The sequence below is a fragment of the Homo sapiens genome, chromosome 10, assembly GCF_000001405.40.
Source record: "Homo sapiens chromosome 10, GRCh38.p14 Primary Assembly".
In the NCBI taxonomy this organism is placed as follows: Eukaryota; Metazoa; Chordata; class Mammalia; order Primates; family Hominidae; genus Homo; species Homo sapiens.
In genome coordinates this window covers 85,456,446-85,473,992 of record NC_000010.11, presented here as the reverse complement: position 1 = coordinate 85,473,992, position 17,547 = coordinate 85,456,446, and the positions used below count along the sequence as shown (strand labels likewise).

Here is a 17,547-nt window from a genome sequence, read left to right as displayed (position 1 = left end):
GATCTAAGTGAAAAGTCATATTTTATTATATAAATTATATAAATGTAACTTTTGCAGTAAATGCATTAAATCAATCTATAGGCATCATTTGTAGAGATTGGTAACTTTTGAAGTTGCTGCTAAAGCTTATTCAAATTTGTCTTCTTTTATCTGATCAAGGGTGTCATTATAGTACCCACTGTAGAATTTAAACAAAGGCCAGGGAATGGGGAGCAAACCCAGTGAAAATGGAGACCTGACACATGGTTGAAGTTTTCAGAGATCCAGTGGTCTGTGACATTTGTGTTATTTTCTCCAAAATGAAGGATATGTTGCTCATGTCCATGGAAAGAGACTCCAAGCCATTTTGTGTGGGCTGTTTTGGATTATGGAGGCCATGTATATTACATTTGAGTGTCTGTTTTAAACCATTTAATAAGTAACCCATAAATCCACTGGTGTTCAGAGGAACATAGAGCAAAACAAGTCCTGCAGCAGGGCTGGGCTCCTGTCTTGCCACTGGTATCTTACAAAGTAGCAAATCCAATGGAACTTGAAGTGTCTTTGATCCTTGAGGATGCTATATGGACCTCTTGGCAGACCATAGTAGAATTACAGCACAAAGTCATTAGGATTTTGGAGCAAAGGTGTGTCTTCTATAGACAACTATCCTCCCTTTCCTTTACACATTAATGAAGTAAAATTCACATAACAAAATCCATCATTTTAAAATGAACAATTCAGTGACATTTAGTATGTTAACAATATTGTAATACCAACAGTTCTCTTTAGTTCTAAAACATTTATGTAATTCTAAAACAAAACCCCTTACCCATTAAGCAGTTTCTCTTCATCCTATTTCCCACACCCACTAGCAACCATCTACTTGCATTCTGTCTCTATGGATTATCAATTATGTAAATTTCATATAAATGGAATCATACAATATTTCAGAACTTTTGTGTCTGACTTCCTTATTTAGCATTATAATTTCAAGGTCCATCTATGTTGTAGCATGTATGATTAATTAATTCCCTTTTGATGGCAGAACAATATTTCATTGAATGAATAAATCAAAATTTGTTTAACCATTCATCCATTGAGGGACATATGAGCTATTTCCACCTGAGTGATGCTATAAACATGCATGTACATAAGCTTGTTTGAGTCCCTCTTTAGTTGTTTTGGGTATGCACCCAGGAGTAGACTTGCAGGATTGTATAGTTATCTTACGTTTACCTTTTTGGAAAACTGCCAAAATATTGACAACAATAACTGAATCATCTTACATTTGCAGAAGCAATGTATGATTCCAGTATTTCCAACATCCATGCTATTTTCTTTTCTTTATATATATATATATTTTTTTTTTTTTATTATACTTTAAGTTCTAGGGTACATGTGCACAACGTGCAGGTTTATTACATATGTATACATGTGCCATGTTGGTGTGCTGCACCCATTAACTCATCATTTACATTAGGTATATCTCCTAATGCTATCCCTCCACCCTCCCCCCACCCCACAACAAGCCCCAGTGTGTGATGTTCTGCTTCCTGTATCCAAGTGTTCTCATTGTTCAATTCCCACCTATGAGTGAGAACATGTGGTGTTTGGCTTTTTGTCCTTGAGATAGTTTGCTGAGAATGATGGTTTCCAGCTTCATTCATGTCCCTAGAAAGGACATGAACTCGTCATTTTTTATGGCTGCATAGTATTCCATGGTGTATGTGTGCCACATTTTCTTTATGCTATTTTCTTTGTTTTAAATTATAGCTAATGACTATGAAGTAGTACTTCTTTATAGTTTTAGCTTGCAGTTCCCTAATGGATAATAATGTGGAGCATTTTTCAAGACTGTTTTGGCTACTTGTGGCCCTTTGAAATTTCGTATAAATTTGAGGGTTAGATTTTTCATTTCTGTACAAATGGCTGTTGAAATTTTGATAGGGATCATATTGAATCTGTAGATCACTTTGAATAATAGTAAGATTTTAAAAAATTCATTCTACCAAGCTTTACAATTTGATTGCAGAATTTAATCCATTTGTACACAAAATAATTAAGAAAAGACTTCTGCTATTTTTCTATTTCCTTTCTGTATATCTTATAGCTCTATTTTTCCTCATTTGCTCAATTTTCAACTTCTTTTGTGTTTGTTCCATTTTTGGCAATGTACCATTTAGATACTCTTCTCACTTCTGTTGTATATATATTTTAAATATTTTTTAGTGGTTACCGTGGCTTACAATTTTGATTAACAGTAGCAGATTACATCAAACATCTCAAATTTATAACAATCTGGTTTATACCAAGAGAGCTTGAATAACATGCAAAATATCTGCTTCCATCTAGCACTGTCCCCTTCTGTGTTGTTGTAACATATTATGTCTTTATACATTATGTGTTTAATATATCAATTTCTAATTATTTTATACATCTACTTTTACATCATGTAGAATATAAAATGTGGAGTTGCAAACCAAAAATGTAAAATTATTGACTTTAACGTTAGCTTTGTAGTTACCTTTACCAAAGATATTTATATCTTCATATATCTTTGAGTTACTGTATATTGTTCATTTATTTTTATCTTAAAGGTTTCTTTTAGCATACCTAAAAGGTCTTGCAGATTGGCTGGTAACAACCTCCCTCAATTTCAGTTTATATGGGAATGTCTTAATTTCTCCTTCATTTTTTGAGGAATAATTTTGTTGACAATCACATTCTTTTTTGACAGCTTCGTTTTTTTTCTTTTAGCATTTTAAATATATTTTCTCACTAACTTCTTATCTCCTTAGGTTTTTTTTTTTTGTAAAATTGACTGTTAATTTTATTAACAATTCCTTGTGTGTGATGAGTTGCTTTTCTCTTGCAACTTTCAGTACAGTGGTATGATCATAGATTACTGCAACCTCAAATTCTTGGGCTCAAAAGATCCTCTGCCTCAGCCTCCTGAGTAGCTAGGGCTACAGGCACATGCCACCATGCCCAGTTCAGATACTACATCTTTTTTAAAAATAAATTTACATCCTAGGGATAAATTCCACTTGATCACGATGCATGTTCTTTTTAATATATTATTGAATTTCGTTTGCTAGTAGTTTTTGTTGAAGATTTTTACATCAATATTTATAAGAGATATTGGGCTGTAGTTTTGTTTGTTTTTTATGTGTCTTTGTCTGGTTTTAGTATCAGGGGAATAATGGGTTCATAGGATGAATGAATTTGGAAATATTTCTGCCTCCCTTATTTTTTGAAATGGTTTGAGTAGGATTGGTATAAATTCTTTAGATGTTTGGTAGAATTCAGCAGTGAAGTCGTTGGAACCCAGGCTTTTCTTTACTGGGAGATTTTTTATTATGGCTCTATCTCCTTACTTGTTATTAGTGTGTTCAGGTTTTGGATTTCTTGCTGGTTCAATCTTGGTAGGTTGTATGTATCAAGGAATGTGTCTATTTCTTCTAGATTTTCCAATTTTGGGGCATATAGTTGCTCAAAGTTGGTGATTTTTTTCAATTTGTGCAATATCAGTTGTAAGGTCTGCTTTTTCATCTCTGCTTTTTTCTTTGGATCTTCTTTTTTTTTTTCTCAGTATGGCTAAAGGTTTGTTAGTTTTGTTTAATGTTACAAAAATCAAACTTTTTGTTTCATTGATCTTTTACATTGTTCTCTTCATTTCAAATTCATTTATTTCTGCTCTGATCCTTATTATTTTTAACTTAACCAATCCTTATTTTTATTTATTTTTTTCTCCTTTTCAGCACTTATTTTCAAATATTTATTTTATAACTTTTAGGTTCACGGGTACATTGCAGGTTTGTTATATAGATAAACTTGTGTGATAGGGGCTTATTGTACAGATTATTTTGTCACCCAGGTAATAAGCCTAATACCCAATGTTTTTTTTTTTAAATAATCCTCTTCCCTCCTCCCACCCTCTACCCTGAAGTGCACCCTAGTGACTATTGTTCCCCTCTTTGTGCCCATGAATTCTCATCATTTATCTCCCAAGTATAAGTGAGAACATCTGGTATTTGGTTTTCTGTTCCTGCATTAGTTTGCTAAGGATAATGGCCTCCAGCTTCATCCATGATCTTGCAATAGACTTAATCTTGTTCTTTTTTATGGCTGAATAGTATTCCTTGGTGTTTAGGTATCACATTGTCTTTATCCAATCTGTCATTGATAGACATTTGGGTTGGTTTTATGTCTCTGCTACTGTGAATAGTGCCGCAATGAACATTTTTGTGCATGTGTGTTTATGTTAGAATGATTTATATTCCTTTGGGTATATTTCCAGTAATGGGATTGCTGGGTTGAATGGTAGTTCTGCTTTTAGCTCTTTGAAGAATCATTACACTGCTTTCCACAACTGTTAGACTAATTTACACTGCCACCAACTGTGTAAATGTTCCACTTGCTTTGTAACCTCCCCAGCATCTGTTATATTATGACTTTTTAATAATATTCATTAGGACTGGTGTGAGATGGTATCTTGTGGTTTTCAATTGCTTTTCTCTAATGGTCAGTGATATTAAATTCTTCCTCATATGCTTGTTGGCCACATGCATGTCTTCTTTTGAAAGTGTCTCTTCATGTCCTTTGCCCACTTTTTAATAATATTGTTTGTTGTCTTCATGTAAATTTGTTTAAGTTCTTTATAGATGCTGGATAGTAGACATTTGTCAGATGCATAGTTTACAAAAATTTTCTCCCATTCTGTAGGTTGTTTGATAGTTTCTTTTTCTGTGCAAAAGTTCTTAAGTTTAGACACCAATTGTGAACTTTGTTCTTTGGTTGTGATTGCTTTTGGTGTCTTCATCACGAATTTTTTGCCCATTCCTATGTCCAGAATGTTATTGTCTAGGTTGTCTTCCAGGGTTTTTATGGTTTTGGGTTTTACATTTAAGTCTTTTAATCCATCTTGGGTTGATTTTTGTACATGGTGTAACAAAGGGGTTTAATTTCAACCTTCTGTATATGGCTAGCCAGTTATCCCAGCACCATTTATTGAATAAGGAGTCCTTTCCCCATTGCTTGTTTTTGTCATCTTTGTCAAAGATCAGATGGTTGTAGGTATGCAGCCTTGTTTCTGGGCTCTCTATTCTTTATCATTGAACTATGTGTCTGTTTTTCTACCAGTACCATGCTGTTTTGTTTACTGTAGCCCTGTAGTATAGTGTGAAGTCAGGTAATGTGATGCCTCCAGCTTTGTTCTTTTTGCTTAGGATTGCCTTGGCTATTCAGGATCCTTTCAATATTTGCCTGAATGTTTGTTTATGTTTAAATGATTTATATTCCTTTGGGTATATTTCCAGTAATTGGATGGCTGGGTCGAATTGTAGTTCTGTTTTTAGCTCTTTGAAGAATTGCCACACTGCTTTCCATAATGACTGAACTAATTTATGCTGCCACCAACAGTGTATAAGTGTTCCATTGTCTTTGCAACCCCTCCAGCATCTGTTATATTTTGACTTTTTAATAATATTCATTCTGACTGATTCCATATGAATTTTAAAATAATTTTTTATAGCTCTGCGAAGAATATTATTGGTAGTTTGATAGAAATAACATTGAATCAGTAAAATGCTTTGGGCAGTATAGCCATTTTAATGATATTGATTCTTCCTATCCATGAGCATGGAATGTTTTTCCATTTGTTTGTGTCTTCTCTGATTTCTTTGATCAGTGTTTTGTAATTCTCATTGTAGAGATCTTTCACCTCCTTGGTTAGCTGTATTCCCAGGTATTTTATTGTTTTGTGGCAATTGTGAATGGGATTGCATTCTTGATTTGGCTTTTGGCTTGGCTGTTGTCGATGTATAAAAATGCTAGTAATTTTTGTGCATTGAATTTGTATCCTGCAACTTTGCTGAAATTGTTTATCAGCTGAAGGAGCTTTGACATAAAATTATGTCATCTGCAAATGGGGATAGTTTGACTTCCTCTCTTCCTATTTAGATGGTCTTTATTTCTTTTTCTTGCCTGATTTATTTTGCCGGGACTTCTAATACTATGCTGAATAAGAGTGGTGAGAGAGGGCATCATTATCTTGGGCCAGTTTTCAAGGGGAATAAGTCCAGCTTTTCCGCATTCAGTATGATATTGGCTGTGAGTTTGTTGTAGGAGGCTCTTACTAATTTAAGATATGTTCCTTCAATATCTAGCTTCTTGATAGTTTTTAACCTGAGGAGATATTGAACTTTATCAAAAGCCTTTTCTGTTTCTATTGAGATAATCATGTGGTTTTTGTCTCTAGTTCTGTTTATGTGACGAATCACATTTACTGATTTGTGTATGTTGAGGCAAACTTGCATCCTGGGGATGATGCCTACTTGATCATGGTGAATTAACTTTTTGATGTCTTGCTGGATTTGATGTGCAAGTATTTTGTTGAAGATTTTTGCATCGATGTTCATTAAAGATATTGGCCTAAAATTTTATTTTGTCGTGTCTCTGCCCAGTTTGTGTCAGGATGACATTGGCTTCATAGAATAAGTTAGGGAGGACTCCCTCCTCACTTTCTGGAATAGTTTCAGTAAGAATGGTACCAGCTCTTTGTACATCTGGTAGATATTACTTCTTTTCTTTTACTAATTTTGGGTTTGGTTTGCTATTACTTTTTTTAGTTCTTTGTGATGCATCATTAGATTATTTACTCTTTTTTGACGTAGGTACTTATAGCTATAAATATCCCTCTTAGTACTGATTTGGATGTACCACACAGGATTTGGTATGTTGTGTTTCCACTGTAATTTGTTTCAGGAAACTTTTCTTTTTAATTTCTTCATTCCCACTGGTAATTCGGAGACATATTGTTTAATTTCCATGTATGTATAGTTTCCAAAATTCCCTTTGTTACTGATTTCTAGTTTTATTCCACTGTGATCAAAGAAGATGCTTGATATTATTTCAATTTTTTGAATATTTAAAGACTTATTTTGTGATGTAACATATGGTCTATCCTTAAGAATGATCCATATACTGAGGAAAAAACTGTGTATTCTGTAGTTGTTCGATGAAATGTTCTGTAAATATCTATTAGATCCATTTGGTCTGTAGTCAAATGAAGTTTGATGTTTCTGTGTTGATTTTATCTCTAGAAGATTCTGTACAATGCTGAAAGTGGGGTGTCAAAGTATCCAGCTTTTATTTTATTGAGGTCTATGTATCTCTTTTGCTGTAGTAATATTTGCTTTATGTATCTGGGTACTCCAGTGTTGGATGCATATACATTTAAAATTGTTGTATCCCGTTGCTGAATTTACCCTTTTACTGTTATAAAGTGACAGTCTCTTCTTATAGGTTTTGCCTTGAAATTAATTTTGTCTGATTTAAGTGTAGCTATTCCTGCTCTTTCTTGGTTTCCATTGGTATGGAACATCTTTTTTTCATCTTTTTATTTACAGTCTATGTGTGTCTTTATAGGTGAAGTGTGTTTCTTGTAGATAACAAATCAATGGGTCCTGTTTTTTCATCCATTCACCCAATCTATGTCTTTTTATCAGGGATTTTAGTCCATTTACATTCAATGTTATTATTGGTAAGTAAGGACTTGCTTCTGACATTTTGATATTTGTATTATGGGTATTTTGTGGTATGCTCTTTCTTCTTTCATTCCTTCCTGTCTTCCGTTAGTGAATGCAATTTTCTCTGGTGATATGATTTAGTTTCTTGCCTATTATTTTTTGTAGATTTGTTGTATGCTTTTTGGTTTCAGGTGACCATGAGTCTTGCAAGTACTATCTTATAACCAATTATTTTAAACTGAAAACTATTTAACATTGTTTACATAAACAAAGAAGCAAAAAGAAAACTAATAAAGCCTCTAAGCTTTAAAGCATTTTACTCCCACTTTTATTTATTTATTTTTTGCTTCTGTTTAGATCTTATTATACTGTCTATGTCTTGAAAAGTTGTGGTATTTTTAATTGGTTCATCATTTGGACATTCTACTTAGGATAATAGAAGTTTACACACCACAATTACAGTGTTATAATATAATACTCACTGGTATTTACTATTACTGTTGAGTTTTGTACCTTCAAATGATTACTTTTTGCTTCATTAATGTCCTTTTTTTCCTACTTGAAGTACTCCTTTTAGCATTTCTTGTAGGACAGGTCTGGGAATAAAGTTCCTCAACTTTTGTTTGTCTGGTAAAGTCTTTATTTCCCCTTCATGTTTAAAAGATATTTTTGCCAGATATGCTACTCTAGGATACAAGTTTTTTTCTTTAGCACTTAAATATGTCATGCCACTGTCTCCTGGCCTGTAAGATTTTCACTGAAGAGTCTTCTGCCAGATGTATTGAATATCCATTGTATGTTATTTGTTTCTTTTCTCTTGCTGCTTTTAAGATTTTTTCTTTATCCTTGACCTTTAATTATTAAATGACTTGAGCTAGTCTTCTTTGGGTTAAATCAGCTTGATGTTCTATAACCTTCTTGTTCTTCAATATTGGTATTTTTCTCTAGGTTTGGAATGTTTTCTGTTATTATCTCCCTGAATAAGCTTTCTACCCCTATTTTCTTCTCTACTTCTTCTTTAAGGCCAATCACTCTTAGATTTGCCATTTTTAGGCCATTTTCTCGATCCTGTAGGCATACTTCATTGTTTTTTATTCTTTTGTCTTTTGTCTCCTGTGACTGTGTATTTTTAAACAGCCAGTCTTCAAGGTCACTAATTCTTTCTTCTGCTTGATGAGTTCTGGTATTAAAGGAAGGACTCCGATGTGTTCTTCAGTATGTCAACTGCATTTTTCAGCTCCAGAATTTCTGCTCGATTCTTTTAAATTATGTCATTCTCTTTGTTAAAATTTTCTGATAGAATTCTGAAATTCTTCTCTGTATTATCTTGAATTTCTTTGAGTTGCCTCAACACAACTATTTTAAATTCTGTCTGAAAGGTCACATATCTCTGTTTCTCCAAGATTGGTCCCTGGTGACTTATTTAGTTTATTTCCTGGAATGTCTTGATACTTGTAGTTGTTCATCTGTGTCTGGGCATTCAAGAGTTAGGTATTTATTTTAGTCTTCACTGTTGGAGATTGTACCTGTCCTTCTTGGGAAGGCTTCCCAGACATTCAAAACAACTTGGGTGTTGTGATCTAAGCTGTATCTACTTTAGGGGGTACCCCAAGCCCAGTAAACTATAGTTTTTACAGACTATTTGAGGTGTCACCTTGATGGTATTGGACAAGATCTGGGAGAATTCTCTGGATTACCAGGCAGTAACTCTTGTCCTCAACCCTTATTTTCTCCCAAACAAAGATCTCTCTCTCTCTCTCTCCCTCTCCTCAGCCAACTAAAGCTGAGTATGGAGTGACACAAGCGCCCCTGTGGTCACTGCCACTGTGACTGTGCTGGGTCAGACCCAAAGCCGGCACAGCACTGGGTCTTGTCCAATGCCTGCTATAACCACTCTCTGGCTACTGCCAATTTTCTCTCAAGGCCCTGGGGCTCTATAATCAGCAGGTTGCAAAGCCAGCCAGGCCAGTGTATTTCCCTTGAGGGTGATGGGTTCCCCCAGGTCATGGGTGTGTCCAGAGGTGCAATTCAGGAGTCAGCAACTAGAGTCAAAAACATTACAAGTCTACCTGGTGTTCTATGGTACTGCAGCTGAGCTGGTTCACAGACCACAAGATGCAGTCCTTCCCACTCTTCCTTCTCCTTTCCAAATGCAGAGGAGGCTCACCCCATGGCCACCACCACCACAGGCCCACAAGGAGAACTTCCAGACAGACTACCACTGATGTCCCCTTAAGGCCCAAGGTCTCTTAAGCCAGTTTGTAGGCCTGGTCTGGGATTCATCCTTTATGGCAGTGGGCCCCCCTCTAGCCCAGGGCAGGTCCAGAAATGCTGTCCTAATCCCCCCCATCTCCCAAAAAACTTCCTCCCCAGATCTTCCTACAGACTTTAGGTGATCTACTATGTGTCTCAATTTTGTGTCTTAATCTTTATCTCAGGTGACTGCAAGTCTTTCCTTCATTTTACATTTTCTAGCACTGCCTGTGACTTTTCTATCTTGTGTAAGTTCTGAATTAGGCCAAACAGAAATGAGTGCCTTGTATAAGTTCTTCAGGTAACTCCCAGGAATTTTAGAATACAAATACAATAACTCGTAAAAAGGTCTTCTTTGCTCCTTCTGGAAGCATAAACCAGGGTCCCCTCCTGGAAATGCAGGTTGTTGTCTTCAAGACCACCTCTAAACTGGGAGGGTTTACAAGGTCAAGTAAAAATACTATGATGTTTTTCTACTATTTTGAAGTTATCTCTTTGTTTATTCAGCATTTGCTTAGTTTCTGTAAACTTTTAACTATTTTTTAAGAGCTCCAACAAATGTGGATCTTACAGTTTCTGCTTAGTTTTCAATGTTTCTGTGGAGGCAAAAAAGCGTGTAGCTACCAACTTTACCATTTTGCTCATGTCACTCATCAAGTATTTTTCTTTGGAAAAAATGTTTCTTTTTTTTGTTTTGTTTTGTTTTTTCTGGAACCTAGTAGTAATTGTATATATGATAATGAGACTCTTGCTATATAATCCATCACAGTGTAATGCTTGCAATTTTTTTTTTTTTGAGACGGAATCTTGCTTTGTTGCTCAGGCTGGAGTGCAGTGGCAGGATCATGTGTCACTGCAGCATTGATCTCCTGGGCTCAAGTGATTCAAATGATTCTCCTGCCTCAGTTTCCTAAGTAGTTGGGACCACTGGTACATGCCACCATGCCCAATTCTTTTCTTTACTTTCTCTTTTTTTTTTTTTTTTTTTTTGAGGCAAGATCTTACTATGCCCAGGCTGGACTCAAACTGCTGTGCTTAGGTAATCCTCCCACTTCAGCCTCCCAAAGGGCTGGAATTACAGGTGTCAGCCATTGCACTTGGGCTAAAACCTTTTTTTAGTTTTTAGTTTTAGATTTTTTGTAGCAATAGGGTTGTACTATGTTGCCCATGCTGGTCTCAAACTCCTGGGCTCAAGTGATTCTCCCACCTCAGTCTCCCAAGTAGTTGGGACCACAGGTGCACTATGTTGCCCAGGCTGGTCTTGAACTCCTAGGCTTAAGTGATCCTTCTACTTTGGCCTTCCCAAGTGCTTGTATTATAGGCATGAGCCATCACACCTGGTCAAAAACCTTAATCAGATTATGCTTTTCTTTTTTTATTTCATTTTTCATTTTTTATAGAGACAGGGTCTTACTGTGTTGCCCAGGCTGGCCTCAAACTCATGGGCTCAAGTGATTCTTCTGCTTCAGCCTCCCAAAGTGTTGGGATTACAGGCGTGAGCCACTGCACTTGGCCGCTATGATGTTCTGAAGTACTTGATTAGCACCTGGAAATAGTTTATGTGAAATCAGGCTGAAGCAGATCCTGAATGAAACAAGATTTTCATGGCATTCACTTATGTTGCATCGACACTACTCTTTCAACTCACATTTTCCACTTAACGGGGAGAGTTCCCTGTGACCAAATATTTTAGTCTTGATTTATAGATGGGTATGATAATATGCTTACATGAGCCAATTTTATAGCCCCAATCCGGGGTAGCCATCAATTGCAGTGGGGAAAGTATATTTTATCACTGGGCAAGACTATGGTCAGTAAATTTGTTTGCTCACTTTGATTAAGAGAAGAAATAGAGGTATCCATGTGTGCTGATTCATGGGCAATGGCTAACGGTTACGTCTAATGACCAGTGACTTGGAATGACAAGATTTGAGAATTAGTGACAAGGAGTTCTGGAAAAAGAGATGTATGTGTGAATCTCACAAAATTGGCCCTAATTGGAAGATAGTTGTTTGTGTGAATTCACACCAAAGAGAATCCACACTAGGGAAATCCTCAGTAATCAGGTTGTCAAAATGACAAAATTGTGGATGTAGTCAACATCTTTCCTTAGCCGCTAAAATAGTTGTTTACGGAACTCAAGAGTTGAAGTGGCAGCCAGAGCAGCAGGAATGAACAATATTTATGGGCTAAACCTCATAGGTTCTCCCTGGCCAATACCAACCCAGACAACTTTGTGTGTGTGTGTCTACCAGCCAATGATAGAGAACAACATTGTACCCCCAATACAGTCACACTCTACAGGGGAATCAACCAGCTACTTAGTGGCAGGTTGATTGCAATGACCTCTTCCATCATGAAAGGACTTCCATTGGGGATGTGTTTGTGCTCACTGGAGGGCCTTCTGCCTTGGATATGAAATTGCCTTAATATCTTAACGTTTCTGCCAGCATCACCAATGAAAAACTTACAGAATATTATCCTTTTGTCCCAAACAACATTGTTTCTGAACATGGGACTCATTTACTCACTGTTTTCCAAAGTGATTTTACCAACATTTGCTCCCACTGAACTTAGGAAGATGAGAGTCTCTGTTGCTGTACATCCTCATCAACACTGCTTATTGTCCAATTCTGTTTATGGATAAACAGTCTGTCATTTTGTAGTGAAACTTAAAATGAGAATATCTTATAACTTAGCAATTTATTCCATCAGTATATGCCCTAAAATGCTCTTGAGAAAGTTCGTGAGAAGATACTTACACAAATATTCAGAGCAACATTATTCATATTAGCAAACAAATGGAGTTTCTATTTTACATAAACAGTAGAATAGAAAATGTTGGTACATTCACTCAATAAAATACTGGGCATTAGTGAAAATAAATGAACTAAAGTTACATGTTGCAGTGTGAATAAATCTCAAAAACATAATATTGAGCCAAAGAAAAATATATACATTATGATTCTGTTTATATAAAGTTCAAGAACAGGAACTCTGTACATATTTTTAAAAAAAAATACAAGCAAGTGTTCGGTTCTATTTACAAAGGAGGAATGGAATGGTTAACACAAAATTTAAGACAGAACTTTGCTATGAGAGGGTGGTGCAATGGGTAAGGCACATATGGGCTTCTCTGATACTGTAGAATTTGTCAAGCTGAGTGGTAGGTATATGTATATTGATTTTACTATTTTCTTTAAGCCATGCTTGCCAGAATATATGCTCTGTGTTCACTAAAACTTGTTCTCTTGCAGGGTACGTAGAGTTCCACATTTCCAGCCTGCTTGCCTTTAGGGGAACCCATAACTTCAGTTCTAGTCAATAAAATGTGAAGGGACGTGAGGAGCATCACTCCCAGACGGAGATGGTAAAAACTATCATATGATCTCCCTGAGATCTTTTCCCTGTCATGTTGACTGAAACAGAAGATGGAGACAGCCTGGACCTCTTGGGTCTCTGCTGAAAGGGAGTGCCCTGGAGAACCTCTGGACCTGTAGTGAACTTCATGTAAGTGAAAAACTATAATTTATGTGCTAAGCTAGTGAGATGTAGACATTTGTTATTGCAAAATAAATTAGTCTTGTTTAATGCAGTGAACTTACATGATTTATTTATTTACCCTTGTGTACACAGTAAATTTCCCAATATAAAAAAGAAGCTCGTGCTTAAGGGAAAGACTTGGAGAGGGAAGTAGAGTCACACACAGTTCCATCTCATACTAGGCAGGCTCCTTATTCAAATAATGACTTCCTGGAACCTCAGTTACTTCATTTAAACATAATCGAATAATTATGCCTGCCTAACAGGGTTATCTGGGCATTAAATGGGATGTATTTCATTGGCTTAGTAAAATGCAAAGTATCTATAGATATTAAATAAATATTAATTTTTGTTTTCTTCTTCTGAAAAAGGAAGAGAACGTATAGAACAGGTAAAAGGAGAGATTAAGATACTTTAGTGTCTTGACTGAGCTAAGACCAAAGAAAATGTAGGCAGAAAGAGCTTAAAACAATCAAAGGGAAAGCCCAAGTAAATGTCAGGGCTGGGATAGTTAGGACTTTCCACTGCCCCCTCCCATCATCTGGTAGTGCAGCGCTGGGAACATGATGAAGTGGCATCATTGTCTGTGGTAAATATTTGAGGTTCGTCGTCTCACGCAAAGGAAATCGAGGATGCAGACACACAAGAAGTGAGTTTAAGAGTGGAGGTTTAATAGGCGAGAGAAAAGAGAAGAGAAAAATTCTCTCTCCCGAGAGAGAGAGGGGATCCCGAGTGGGTCTTCCGGTTTTGTGGTGAAATGCATGGGGTTTCATAGACGAGCTTGAGGAGGCAGTGTCTGATTTACACAGGGCCCAAAAGATTGGTTGGACCAGGTGTGCTGTTTGCATAGCGTGTGAAGAAGCTGGCCATCCCAGCCTAATCTTGTATTATGCAGATAGGGTCACTACCTGGCCGGCGCCATGTTGTCTGCTTTTTTACCACACACGGTGACAAAGAAAAAGAATGAGGGAACCTCATGTTGAATAAACCTGGCTTCCATATATCCCTTTTCTATTGGCACAGCTGCCGGCATTTTTGCTTGCTTATTTATGCTTGCAGCTTGATTTCTCAGGCTGCTTTTTGTTACAAAAGAAACGATTTGGGGGCTGCTTTTTATTAAAAGGAAATCTTATCAAGGACTCTCTTACCCTCACTATCTGCCTAAATAATTTCTTTCTAGCTTCTGTGTTAATGAAGATCATCACAAGGGTGATATTGAATCATGAATTACCACCCTGAAAGTTAGGACCACCAGAATGTCAAGAAATTCGCTGTGACTTAGACCAAGGTTGCCAGAGTCACCTCCTTTCTGAGGTCATTCTGGGTAGACCTGCAACAAGTGGGCTTCAGAGACCTCTTGAGCTGGCCTGTCTTGGGTCTGCCAGTTCTCAGCCACTGAGGACAGGTCTCATCCTTCTCTATGAACCTTTCCCTCTTTTCTTCTGTCCCCATACCAGGCATCTCCTAGAGTACTACTGTCTTTGCAAAGAGCCGAGATTTCTAGACTAGTGGTTCTGAGTGTGCAGAAGTGTCAACTGGAAGGCTTGCAAAAACACAGATGGCTCAACTTCTCCCTCAGAACTTTGGATCCAGTAGGTTAGACTAGGGTCCAAGAATTTGCATTTCTACCAAGTTCTCCAGCGATTCTGAACCCCACTTAGAGAACAGTCGTTGATTTTCTCCAGTGCTCAGAAAGGTAAGAGATAGAAGGAGTTTCTGCCATATTAGAGGGTCAAATTCTCCGAGGGGACCAGCAATTTGGATATGCATTTTCCTGAGTTCTATGGTGGGGGCTAGTTGTCTGACCTCACAACTAGAAGTGATACTGGTGTTTGCATTGGTCTCTTTCAAGTGACTCAATTAAATAGCAGAAAGTGATAGAGGAAACCAAGGAAGGGGACTGGAGCTGGATTCCTTTAAATGGACTTTTTCATGAAAATATCTGTTATTCTCTGAGAAGCGGTTGCTGCAGGCTGATTGTGGGAGTGACCCTTTGCAGCAAAGGAAAGGAGGCAGTTCCAGGCACCCTGTGGGACCTTCCCAGCTCTAATTTCTCATTATAATGAAGACTGATGGGTAATGGGATCAGCTTTTTGCCCAAGGGCCTGCATGGTTCTGTGGGAACATTTTCCCACTGCCGCACATTTGGTCTGTGGGGAGAGGATGGATGCTGGAGGCAGACTTGCTGGCAGGAAGCAAAGCCAGGCTGGCCTCCTGTCATCTGATTCCCTGTGTACGGGGCTGGCCCAAGGGAACCTCATGTCCTCCTTTCTACCCAAGGTCACAAGGAGCTGCCAGGGCTGATGACGGCCCCAAGTTATAGCCCCTCAGGGCACTCTGTGGAGAAATGTGACTCCATTAAAACACAGCCGTCACCCTGGGGCAGCTGACGGAGACAATACTAATCTTTAGATCTAACCCTGAAGTTTCAAGAAATTACTGAGAATAAAATAATGTCAGCACAATTTCCAAAAAACAAAAAACAAAAAAAAAACCTAGTCCTAGTCTAGGCCAGTTAGGAAAGCTGGGGTCAAGGAAATAACTGAGTTTTCTTGAGCACATTCTAAGTCCTGGTGATTTACATATGTTTTCTAGTTTGCACATTTAGGGCAATGCTGGAAACTAGATTTATCATCTTAATTACTTGAGGAAGTAAACTAGGGTCAGAGAGGGTAATTGATTTGCAAAGTTTGGTAAGTGGCAGAGTGTGGCTATGAAGCACAAGCTGGCCTGACCCCAGAACTATGTCCTCAGCCATAGGCCCCTGCTTTCAGAAATGACAGGCCCGTTTTGACCACAATGAAGTAGAAGTAGGCCATTCAGGAATAAAATGTCTGTACACATTGACATGTGCCTTTTATTTTCTATGAAGGGCCCACACATTTGCCAAACTCCATACTTTTTTTCCCTGTGCAAATGGGATATTCATCCCTGTTTCTGAGAATCACCCCAAATGCCACCTTATCCATAATAGCTCTTCCTCTGTAGCTCATGTTTCCTGGAATCCTGCCTTCACAACATTTCTATAGCATTACTGTATCTCACACCTCATTCATTTATTTATTAATTTATAAACTGAAAATAAAATTCTAAGCCCCCAACTGAATGAACAGACCATCTCTTGGCCAAGGGAACCACAGAGTAACCTTGAAAACTGAGTTCTCAGCCATGAAGGGATAAGGATGTTTGACACCTTATTATCTCCCCTCCTTCACTAACCACGATTAGGCTTTCTTCCCTAAGGGCATAACAGAGACCAGCCCATTCAGAAGACTTCCCTACTGATTTCAATTAATTGCCTGACACTGCCCCTCCTGTTTTGTCTGATAAGAGACCACCCACCACGGAGTTGTTCTGGCTAGTCCACTAAGAATATGTAGTGAGGGTTTTTTTGTCCTCTGTTTCATCTTTTGACATTAGAGGACTGACAACTCCACCCTCAGATCATGCTAACACCATTTTTTGTATAGGGGTCCCATTAAGAGGCATAAAGTTCAATTGAACATGGGCACGTTTCTCCTTTCATGAATACTAATAACTCCTTCTATAGCTTATTAAATATGCATATTCAGCCACCCCGTTCAGCATGCATTCCCGCTTCCCCTGTCCCTCCCTTTAAGTATCTGTTTCTGGCTTCCTACCAGAAGCTGTGCTACACAGGTTGTCAGAAAGGCCACCCTGCAGGCTGCAAAGCTTTATGAGAAATAAAGCTCTCCTTTCCAAATTTATAAACCTCATCATTCTGCAGTTGACACATTCATTCAATAGACATTTATTGAGAAATACCTTTTCTATGCTAGATTTTTTTTTTAGGCTCTAGGGGCACAGAAATGCATTAAGTTCCTGCCTTCCTGGACCTTTACACACACACACACACACACACACATTATATATGTGTAGTTTGATTTCAACTAGTGAGAAGTGTTTTGATAAAATATACACCAGAGTGAGGGGCTCAAGAGTGTTTTGGAGGAAAGGACCTATTATAGAAAGACTGGTCTTAAACGGCCTTACTGGAGAGGTGACATTTGATCAGACACCTAAAGTTATAGAGCAAGTGGTATGACAATGTTTAGAAGAGAATATTCCAGGCAGAGTGAGTAGCAAGTATGAGGGCACTGTGGCAGGAAAGAGTGACATGTCTGCAGTGAGAAGGAGTGATGTGTAGGGGCAGCATGCTGTCCAGTGTGGCTGGGGTGGAGTAAACCTAGGGGATCATGGTTGACAATATGGTGGCAAA

The 17,547-nt window shown here is 37.7% G+C and overlaps 1 long non-coding RNA gene across 1 annotated transcript in view; it reads right to left on the bottom strand.

The window, feature by feature from the left end:
• Nucleotides 1-17,547, bottom strand: part of LINC01520 (long intergenic non-protein coding RNA 1520) — a 42,410-nt gene that overhangs the window by 18,009 nt on the left and 6,854 nt on the right. The window contains exon 4 of the long non-coding RNA NR_120671.1: nt 12,296-12,397. This is a non-coding gene — a long non-coding RNA (long intergenic non-protein coding RNA 1520). The remainder of the gene's footprint in view (nt 1-12,295; nt 12,398-17,547) is intronic.